Source organism: Homo sapiens, chromosome 4, assembly GCF_000001405.40.
Source record: "Homo sapiens chromosome 4, GRCh38.p14 Primary Assembly".
NCBI classification, from domain to species: domain Eukaryota; kingdom Metazoa; phylum Chordata; class Mammalia; order Primates; family Hominidae; genus Homo; species Homo sapiens.
In genome coordinates this window covers 113,998,399-114,010,480 of record NC_000004.12, presented here as the reverse complement: position 1 = coordinate 114,010,480, position 12,082 = coordinate 113,998,399, and positions in this window count along the sequence as shown.

The following is a 12,082-nucleotide window of genomic DNA, read 5'->3' as shown; positions in this document are numbered from 1 at the left end:
ACTCAGGATTAAGAAATTCACTCAAAACCACACAACTACATGGAAACTGAACAACCTGCTCCTGAATGACTACTGGGTAAATAATGAAATTAAGGCAAAAATAAATAAGTTCTTTGAAACCAATGAGAACAAAGACACAATGTACCAGAATCTCTGGGACACATTTAAAGCAGTATTTAGAGTGAAATTTATAGCACTAAATGCCCACAGGAGAAAGCCGAAAAGATCTAAAATTGACACACTAACATCACAATTAAAAGAACTAGAAAAGCAAGGGCAAACAAATTCAAAAACTAGCAGAAGACAAGAAATAACTAAGATCAGAGCAGAACTGAAGAGGATAGACACATGAAAAACCCTTAAAAAAATCAATGAATCCAGGAGCCAGTTTTTTGAAAAGATTAACAAAATAGACAGACCACTAGCCAGACTAATAAAGAAGAAAAGAGAGAAGAATCAAATAGACACAATAAAAAATGATAAAGAAAATATCACCACTGATCCCACAGAAATACAAACTACCATCAGAGAATACTATAAACACCTCTACACAAATAAAGTAGAAAATCTAGAAGAAATGGATAAATTCCTGGACACATAAACCCTCCCAAGACTAAACCAGGAAGAAGTCGAATCCCTGAATAGACCAATTACAAGTTCTGAAATTGAGGCAGTAATTAATAGCCTACCAACCAAAAAAAGCCCAGGACCAGACAGATTCACAGCCGAATTCTATCGGAGGTACAAAGAGGAGCAGGTACCACTCCTTCTGAAACTATTCTAAACAGTAGAAAAAGAGAGACTCCTCCCTAACTCGTTTTATGAGGCCAGCATCATCCTGATACCAAAACCTGGCAGAGACACAACTAAAAAAGAAAATTTCAGGCCAATATCCCTGATGAACATCGATGCAAAAATCCTCAGTAAAATACTGGCAAACCAAATCCATTGGCACATTAAAAAGCTTATCCACCAAAATCAAGTCAGCTTCATCCCTGGGATGTAAGGCCAGTTGACACGCCAACCAATAAATGCAATCTATCACATAAACAGAACCAATGACAAAAACCACATCATTATCTCACTAGATGCAAAAAAGGCCTTCGATAAAATTCAACAGCCCTTCATGCTAAAAACACTCAATAAACTAGGTATTGATGGAACATATCTTAAAATGATAAGAGCTATTTATGACAAACCCATAGCCAATAGCATACTGAATGGGCAAAAGCTGGAAGCATTCCTTTTGAAAACTGGCACAAGACAAAACCCTCACCACTCCTATTCAATATAGTATTGGAAGTTCTAGCCAGAGCAAGCAGGCAAGAGAAAAACATAAAGGGTATTCACATAGGAAGAAAGGAAGTCAAATTGTCTCTGTTTGCAGATGACATGATTGTATATTTAGAAAACTCCATCATCTCAGCCCAAAAATTCTTTAAGCTGATAAGCAACTTAAGCAAAGTCTCAGTATACAAAATCAATGCAGAAAAATCACAAGCATTCCTATACACTAATAATAGACAGAGAACCAAATCATGAGTGAACTCCCATTTACAATTGCTACAAAGGAATAAAATACCTAGGAATTCAACTTACAAGGGATGTGAAGGGGTTCTTCAAGGAGAACTACAAACCACTGCTCAGGGAAATATGAGAGGACACAAGAAAATGAAAAAAATACCATGCTTATGGATAGAAAGAATCAATAGCGTGAAAATGGCCATACAGCCCAAAGTAATTTATAGATTCAATGCTATTACCATCAAACTACCATTGACTTTCTTCACAGAATTAAAAAAATACTTTAAATTTCATATGGAACCAAAAAAGAGCCCATATAGCTAAGGCAATCCTAAGAAAAAAAAAAAAAAAAAAAAGCTGGAGGCATCATGCTACCCGACTTCAAACTATACTACAAGTTTACAGTAATCAAAACAGCATGGTACTGGTATCAAAACAGATATATGGCCCAATAGAACAGAACCGAGGCCTCAGAAATAATCCCACACATCTATAATCATCTGATCTTTGACAAACCTGACAAAAACAAGCAATGGGGAAAGGATTTCCTATTTAATAAATGGTGTTGGGAAAACTGGCTACCCATATGCAGAAAACTGAAACTGGACCCCTTCCTTACACCTTATACAAAAATTAACTCAAGATAAATTAAAGACTTAAATGTAAGACCTAAAACCCTAAAAACCCTGAAGAAAACCTAGGCAATACCATGCAGGACATAGGCATGGGCAAAGACTTCATGACTAAAACACCAAAAGCAATTACAACAGAAGCCACAATGAATAGATGGGATCTAATCAAACTAAAGAGCTTCTGCACAGCAAAAGAAACTATCATCAGAGTGAACAGGCACCCTACAGAATGGGAGAAAATTTTTTCAATCTATCTATCTGACAAAGGGCTAATATCCAGAATCTACAAGGAACTTAAACAAATTTTAAGAAAAAAAATCCCATTAAAAAGTGGGCAAAGTATATGAACAGACACTTCTCAAAAGAAGACATTCATGTGGCCAAAAAACATATGAAAAAAAGCTTATCATCACTGGTCATTAGAGAAATGCAAATCAAAACCACTATGAGATACCATCTCACGCCAGTTAGAATGACGATCATTAAAAAGTCAGGAAACAACAGATGCTGGAGAGGATGTGGAGGAATAGGAATGCTTTTACACTGTTGGTGGGAGTGTAAACTAGTTCAACCATTGTGGAAGACAGTGTGGTAATTTCTCAAGGATCTAGAACTAGAAATACTATTTGACCCAGCCATCCCATTACTGGGTATATACCCAAAGGATTATAAATCATTCTACTATAAAGACATGCGCATGTATGTTTATTACAGCACCATTTACAATAGCAAAGACTTGGAACCAACACAAATGCCCATCAACGATAAACTGCATAAAGAAAATGTGGCACATAAACACCATGGAATACCATGAAGCCATAAAAAAAAAAAAATGAGTTCATGTCCTTTGCAGGGACATGGATGAAGCTGGAAACCATCATTCTCAGCAAACTAACACAGGAACAGAAAACCAAACACCACATGTTCTCACTTGTAAGTGGGAATTGAACAATGAGAACATATGGACACAGGGAGGGGGACATCACACACTGGGTCCTCATGGGGGGTGTGGGGCAAGGGGAGGGATAGCATTAGGAGAAATACCTAATGTAGATGACGAGCTGATGGGTGCAGCAAACCACCATGGCACATATATACCTATGTAACAAACGTGGACGTTCTGCTCATGTATCCCAGATCTTAAAGTATAATTTAAAAAAAAAAGAGAAACAAAAATTGAATCAACAGAACATAAAGTAAGAGAGGCGCAAAGCATGGTCAAAAGGTATAAATCTGTTTAGTTGGAGTCCTGAAAGGAAAGGAGAGAATAGGGCAGAAGCAATATTTAAGGAAAAATAGCCTATTCCACAACTTTTTCTCTTTATTTCTGAATTCAATATTCTGTCCTTCAATGACAATTTTTGCCTCAAGTGTGATATCTGGTATCTGGTAAACATTCTCTTCTATTTTTGAATGGCTGCTGTGTGTATTGAGTAAATGGAAGAGCTGAGCTTGAAGGACAAGTCTTGCTGATGCCGGAGTTTAAGGATTGCCCTTTCTCCTGTACCATGCTGCATCCTTCTCACCCTCTAGCCCCTGCTCCAATGCTATATTCTCTCTCAGCGACATTCTTTTCATCTATGCAAATAGAAAGGCATCTTTTCATTTGCCACATTCCTTTCTTTTCTCTCAGGGATCACTGTCCTGTGCTGCTTCATGTTCAATATCTGAAAACCAGTGTTTTACATACTTTGTTTTTCTAATTGTTGCTTAAAAGGATAAATCTTGTCCCTATTGTTTTATCCTGGTGGGAACTGTTCAAGTCCATGTACATAATTTTTGTAACTACAAATGGTTGTTTATACTTTGTAAGGACTTCTTACAAATGGGGTATTTCACATAAAGTCAGTTCATGTAAAAAAAATCCAAAAGATATTGAACTGGTACCTGCGAATAATTGTATAAGGCAATTTCTTGTTAAAGTGATCATGCTTAATAAGTATTACACAATCAGATAAGGTCTGGGCAAGCCTTTCACTTGTCAGACTTAAAAGAACATAGTCCTACTCAGGATGTTAGTGAAGGCACACATCTACACTCAGGTGTGGGATGGCAACCATGCAAATTTCCTGAAAGAGGGCTTTAGATCATTCTTTGCCGGTGCTTCAGTGTTTTCTGGCAGTCTTTTCTATTTGCCTCTTCTACAGGGAACAGCAGAATTCCATGCATCTCACTCATAACTTTCAAGGTAGGTCTGCTTACCATTTGCAAAAAGAAAAAAAAAAAAGTAATTTTTTAAAAGCTACTGCCAAGAGTTTTAGAACATTTACTTAGAGCCAACTGTGAATCACAGGAAGTCATTTTGTGGCCAAAGTCTGACTCTAACAATCTAACTAGGTTAGTAGGTCATTGAAATTTTTTTCCTTTACTTGAAGCTGATCTTTTTGGTGGAAGGGCAGTGGGGGGGAGAATGCCATAATCAAATGTCAACAGGATTCATTTTTAATAATTAGCTAGGAAAGACTGACAGTCTATGAATTACATTTTAGAGTCTAAAAAGAAGCCCCCATTTTGCCCATCTCTTTCGAGGTATGCTGCCAATGGTAGTGTGACTTAGGGCTCTTTTTCTAGCTCCTGTCTTCCGGTAACTTGCTATCTTCACTGAACCAACTCACAACATAGGTAAATGTATAGTCTCTACTTTTATTTTACCATGACAATGGTGAAAATTCCTGAATTTTCCCCTCAGTGCTTCTATATTCATCTGCATGTTTTAGCACTGAGATGCATGTTCTTAGTTTTTCTATTTACACAATTCAATTTTGAACAATTGATTTTTTATTACTTCAATTATTATTCATTTCCAATTTTTAAATGTGAAGTTAAAATTCTTTTGTTTCTTTCATTTTTATTAAAAGATAAAAGTGCCTAGAAGAGAGGAAAAGGCAGCAAAATGCGTTAGAAGTCGTAGCGGACAAGAGGGTAAGGGACCTGAGTCTAAAGCCCCTCATTCATTCAGATATTCCATAAGAGTTTCTATATCTCAAATTCTTTGCCAGATACTGGAAATACTATTGCGCACAATACTGTCATCATTCCTGCTCTCATAACACTAACAGTCTGATGGGGAAGGCAGGAGGTAATCACATAAATCACAAAATAAAAATGTAACTAAAAAATGTGATAAGGGCATTATAATGCAGAAGAACTTGAGAGAGGTTAAAGAATGCTTCCTGGAGGAAGTGATATCTAACCAGAGATATAAGATATAAGGTGGAGAAGGGAGCAGGGAGCAGGGAAGACTGGTCCAGGCAGAGGGAAGAGTTTAAGGAAAGGCCCTGAGCCAGCAGAGTGGTTTAAAGTAAGAATGAGAGTGGTTTAAAGTAGTGTGTCCAGAATTGGTGGGTTCTTGGTCTCACTGACTCAAAGAATGAAGCCGCGGACCCTTGCGGTGAGTGTTACAATTCTTAAGGCCGGCGTGTCCGGAGTTTGTTCCTTCTGATGTTCGGATGTGTTTGGAGTTTCTTCCTTCTGGTGGGTTCGTGGTCTCGCTGGCTCAGGAGTGAAGCTGCAGACCTTCGCGGTGAGTGTTACAGCTCTTAAGGCTGCGCGTCTGGAGTTGTTCGTACCTCCGGGTCGGTTTGTGGTCTCACTGGCTTCCGGAGTGAAGCTGCAGACCTTCGCAGTGAGTGTTACAGCTCCTAAAGGCAGTGTGGGCCCAAAGAGTGAGCAGTAGCAAGATTTATTGCAAAGAGCGAAAGAACAAAGCTTCCACAGTGTGGCTGTCACCTCTCAGTAGGTAAGGGGAATAGAGGTTCCAGACAGGACAGGAGAAGTCAGATCTTGCAGGACCTAATAGGACTTCTTAGCGATTTTGGTCATAAAGCTAGCAGCATTTCAAAGGAATTGAATTGATGTGATTAGATTTTCATTTTGAAAGAATTCTTCTGCCCACTCTGTGGAGAATAAATTAGAAAGGTGTAAGAGTAGAAGTAGCAAAGAGACTTTGCAGGGTTTCAGAATGTAGCCTGTGGTCCTTTAGGATTTCATGATGGATTATATATGTAGTGAATGAGAGTGTCAGCAGAGACCTGCATCTTGCCATTAACTGAAATGAGGAACATCTTTGTAAGGGAATATCATGGGTTTGGGTTTAGACTATTAACACTTTAAATATCTTTGAATGATATCTTTGAAACTGAGGCTTTCAGGGATTCACTTTCTGTATCTATAAAATGAGAAAGTAAGTAAATCACCTCTAAGATACTTCTTTTTGCTATCTACTTTGACTTTATTCTGTCTCCTTTAATTCTTATCCATAGAAGAAACTGAGATACATTGCCTGATTATAACCAGAAAATTTTAGAATTGGAAAAGAAGGGACTTTATGCTAATCTTGACCAAGTATATTTTCAAAGTTAGAAGAAAAGATGTTCGGGGTCCAAACTGTCAACTATAGTTTATTGTTCTTGTCTCTAAACTGAATACGACATTAAATTCCCTATCTGATTTATTTGCCACCTGTTCTCAATCGTTACAGGTCTCTTTTTCAAAGGAAGTGTGGGTATGTTAGTTTGCTCTCACACTGCTAATAAAGACACACCTGAGACTGGGTAATTTATAAAGGAAACAGATTTAGTTGACTAACAATTTCACATGGCTGGGGAAACCTCACAATCATGGCAGAAGGCAAATGAGAAAAGATACGTCTTACATGGTGGAAGGCAAGAGAGCTGTTCAAGGGAACCCCCATTTATAAAACCATCAGACCTCATTAGACTTGCTCACTACCACAAGAAAAGTATGGGGGAAACTGCCCCCATGATTCAACTACCTCCACCTGCCCCATCATTGACATGTGGGGATTATTACAATTCAAGGTGAGATTTGGTTGGGGACACAGCCAAACCCTATCAGTGGGAGAACCCCAGTTATACCAAAGAATTTTTAAAAGAAAATGCCTTTAAAAAATAGTTAAAAGGTAGTAAATACACAAAAATAAAAGATCGATAAATAAATTTTCAGGTCAAGTCTACAAATGCATTCATTAATGGTGCATATATCTCAGAACATCTAAATCATAATTAGCTCAAGAAAATACTGCATTTGCAGTGATAATACAGGATTCTTCCTGAAAATAGTGGCAATTGCAGCTACCTACATGGGAATGCTGAAAGTAGGAATTCAGCTATTGTAGCAGGCAGCCTCTAAGATGGCCCCTAATGATCCTACCTCTTCTCATTTACACAGTTCAATGAGGGCTATACTTACTGACTCTCTTCTAACAAACAGAATATGGCAGAAGTGATGGAATGTCATTCCAGTATGCAGTCTTAAAATCTCAAGGGAACAGCAAAAAATTTACCCATGCTCCAATCTCTCCCAAATTCCACCTCAGGCAAGTCTTCAAACAACATTAAAAAATCAAAAGACCTTAATTTCTTGAGAGACCTTGACCTACAGGCAACCAGCCAAGACATGCTGGGATTTTGTACTCAGAAACTGTGACAGAATACATGTTTATTGTTTTGAAACACTAAGTTTTAGAGTAATTTGTTATGCAGCAATGGATAACTAGTAAAGCTACGGGAAATATTCACCAGACTTCATTATAAAACACTAAATTAGATTCTTCATGTAGTAGAACCATGCCAGTTTGGTTCATGAAAAACAAAATTTTATTACTCTTAGTAACTCATTTTGCTGTACTAAATCATCCTTCGTTGTATTAAACCATGAGTCTGTAGAATTCCCAAGCCATTTTTCCATAAGAAATAAAGAGAGGATGTGAATTTCTGAATCAGTTCTTGATTGCTTGGCTGACAATGACTGCCTACCAGTCATAAACTTTACTTAACACAAGAAATAACCAAAAACAAACACTGATCTATATCATCTGTGCTTCCTTTAAAATAAATGCAAAGTGGAGAATCTTGGGCTGTGGAGATCAGTATCTTCTGATGGGATTATCACTTTTAGTTGGAGATTGAGTACAGTTTAGGAAGAACCAAATTAGTGTGTTTCCCCAGAGAGCAAGATAATATCAAATGGAAATGAAGGAAGAAGGCCACACTTCCACTTAGGATGTACAAATATAGAAAAAGGGCATCACTCTCAATATAACAGTGAGAAAAAACTGGATAATCTATTATGTAAAATAGTCACTTTAATTGAGAGCTTACATCTCAAGGCAATCAGGTGAACTCCATTCCAAAGTGTGCCAAGCTACTCAGGAGAAATAGGACACATGAACTGTTTACCTTTGGCAGAGTACAGGAGGAAGAAGTGACAGTCACAAAAGCAGTTAAGAAAAACTCTGCAAAAATTGTTATAAACTGACAGTTGGCTAGCATGAGCATTTAGAATCTCTGGGAGCCCCAAACACAAGGGGAGCCCCTATCCATTCATTAGCTCCACAAACCTCCTCTAGGTGCTCAGAAGGAAGATTGGGGACAGGGCAGGAGACCTGAGAGACCCCTTCCTTGGTAGCGAAGTTTTAGTACCTGCCAAAGTCTGAGGGAAGAACAGGAATACCTAGAGAAGCCCATCCAAACTTCAGGTTCTGCTGCTGGGAGACAGAAACAAAACCCACCTATGCTCCAAACTTTTCTCAGATATGAAGCAAAAATACCAGAAGAGCAAGAAATCCACTCATGCCCAGGATCTGACCATACTTTGACATGAGGCCAAAGGTGTTTGCTACAGTTATATGGGCATTCACACCTCTCTTCTTTAAAATCTGTTCTTACCAGATTTGCATTCCTTTCATGTTATTGAAGTTTTCATTCTGTTTTTTTTTTTTTTGTTTTACTTCCTCCATTAACTCCAGCAACTCTCCGATCTCTAGAGCTGTGCGATGTGTGAAGAAGTGCTCCTTAAGCCCTTTTGCCTTCTCAAATGTTCTCTGAGGTCTGTTTATGATGCTGATGTTCACCTTTGGCAGGAAGGAGCACTCTCCCGCCAGCCACCCAAACAGCCTTCCAGCTTCCATCCTCTTTGTTAGGGTTGACATTCCTAATGAAAACCTTTTTTCTTGGGGTTAGCCCTTAGCAACTTGCTTGGTAAGGTGTGCAATAGGAAGCAAATGCATTGTCTTCCACTGAAGCTGATTTGAACAGGGCTTCACTGTAAGCTTCCAGAGGGAGATGGAAACTCTGCCATGTGGGTGGTGGGTTTTATTTTTCCACATGGGCCCCTATTCCTAAAGAGAAAAGAACATCTGCTGTACCAGGAAAATTGCACGTTAACTCTTATAACCACCCTTTGGAAAGGAAAAACAGTCCTCCAAAGCAAGACAACCTCTGATCAGGGAAGGGGGCCTGTGGGCCAAAGTGTAATTGCATTTTGCTACAATATTGCCATAGGTGAAACAGGACTTGGCTAAATGGTCAAAACTCTATTATCCTTTATTCTAGTGGCTGGTGTGACATACTTCTTTAATGTTTGTCGAATAGAAATGGAAGAAAAAAATAATAAATACAAGAGTTATGTTATTTTAGTGTTCTTGTGAAAGGCAACAGCAATCATTTTTCAGCCAGACATTTGGTAGAATTTAGCAGCAAGAAATAGCAACAAGACATTCCCAACCAAGCTTTCATTTCCAAAAGTGGGAGAGTGGGGTTATTCAATGAGGCATTTTTAGAAGCTAAGAAGCAATAAGAAACATGCCAGAACTTTCATATTCGCTGAAGATACTTAGACAATGTAGGAAGGACTCTGTTTCACGCAACATCAATTTCCGTGGTCCCTTTTGATTCAGCTAATATTTATGAAGCACTTGCTATGGAACAAGCATGGTGTTAGGCCCTGGGACTAGAACGGTGAACAAAAACTGACCTAGTCCTTACTCTAGTGTGTGTGCTGGCGGGGGTGAGTAAGGACAGGAACTAATCAAATGCCTACACTATCTTTATAAACTGAAATAAACATTGTGAAGAAAAGAAACATGGAGAAGATAAAGGGCAGAGCTGATGCATGGTCAAATATATGATGTTTTAAAAAACGTAATTGCTGATTATAGAAAATGGATTGGAGGAAAGTCAAATAATTACAGACCTCAGTAAGCAGTAAAATGTTCTGATGTCATTTTGCAAGAGGATTGACTTTTATATTAGGTTAATAAAAATATACATAGAAGGAAACTCTTGCACTTGTCTGAAACTTTGTAAGACAAACTATATTCTACATGGGAAAGCAGTAAATTGGGCAATGTTCATGCAGAGTTTCTCTATGTTCTTAGTGCTTTTGATGTGTTATTATATATTCTTTTCATGCATGTCTTAACTGGAGTAGGGACTGAGTGGGTGGTAGGCAAATACCCTTAGTTAAAACTTGTTCTAATTATTTGCTCCAAAATACAGTTCCCAGTGAGACCAGATTCAACTAGTTGTTTGTTATTTCTGAATCAAAGAATTAGGTCAACAACATGAATCCTTAAAAGAAATCACAATACAATATATACCTCTGTAAAGTAGATCCCTCTAGCTATGTCCTGAAAATAACATTGGTTTATAAAATGCAACTGATAGACATGACGTAGAAATGTTAAAATTAAAATAGTATATGAAAATGTTATGCTTTTATTGAAAGTTATTTAAATAAAACATTTCAAAATGTATAATAAGACAACTATCACATTTTTATCTTTCCATCTACAGTATTCTTTCAATTTTATCTTTTCCTATATAACCTAGAATTATTTAAAACACCACTATTTGCTTACTATTCCCTATCCAGTCTTGAATTAAAAAGGCTTCAAGCATCATAAAGAATTTACTTATTTTCCTAGCACTTTGGCCTTTTACTGTTTCACAAGATATGAGCAAAAAATTCTTTCATTTCAAACATCTTCTAAGTTGACAGCAGTGCAAAAAAAAAGAATAATTAACCAAAATCAAAATTTTCTACTTAATAGTTTATGAAATTGAAAAGCTCCCATCCCACTAGCTATACACATATAATTATTGATTATTTTATTTTAAATTCAAATACATGTAAGTTAATTGGATGATTCCCCAAGGAGATACTATATATTTAAATGTATATTTACATGTAATTTTTTTTTTTTGCTAAAACTATTAACATACCCTTGTAAAGAAAGTACAGGTTTCTTAAATTATTTCATACAAAAAGAAATTCATGAAAGTTACAAAACTAGTTTCTGTGTGGCATTAAACTGAAACAGAAAAAAATATATTCAACTTATTCCCAAGGGTTTTTAAGGTGGATATTTTTAATTAAACTTAAGTCAGACTTTGTGGCTCAGAATACTCAATATGCTAATAGAAACATCTGCAGAAAATCTGTTTTCTTATTTATTGCGGCAAGAAAGCACAAGATAATCACAAGGGGAAACATTTCCCATAAATTTATTTCTATGAACCAGATCTTTGATATTAAAAGGAAATTATATCAATTACAGTAATATTTAAATCAATGAAGTAATCAACATATTTCTCATGGGATTATTTTAATATAAAAATTTGACAAGCCACATTTTAAAATATGAAATACTGTTTTAAAAAGTATTTCTAAAACCTTATCAGCGAAATAAGCATTCCCTAGTTTGGGCAAGAAATGTTCTAAAACATCTGCATTTGTTTTAGTGTTGCCAAACCACAGTCTTATTGCTTCAGTTGACCCAGTGATTTAAGATTAAATGCTTCCTAAGAGGCTGGGATGAGGGGCTGAACAGGGAAGGGAAGGAGGGGTACTCCCCAAGACTTTCATCATCATAGAAAGCATATTCCTTGACAATTCAACTTGCTTTTTGAAAATTAAATTCCTTCTGAACTAAGTGTAAGAATTGACCTAATAATTTACCTATAAAATGCTGTGCTTTAAATTTTTTTCTAAATTAAACTCTTCTGGTTAATATATGATCACATAACAAGGAAGACACGTACTTTAAAATAATAATAATAAAAGCATGACATAATAAAAAAGCAAGCATGGAAGCCAAGGCAAGAGGCCCATACTTTTATTAT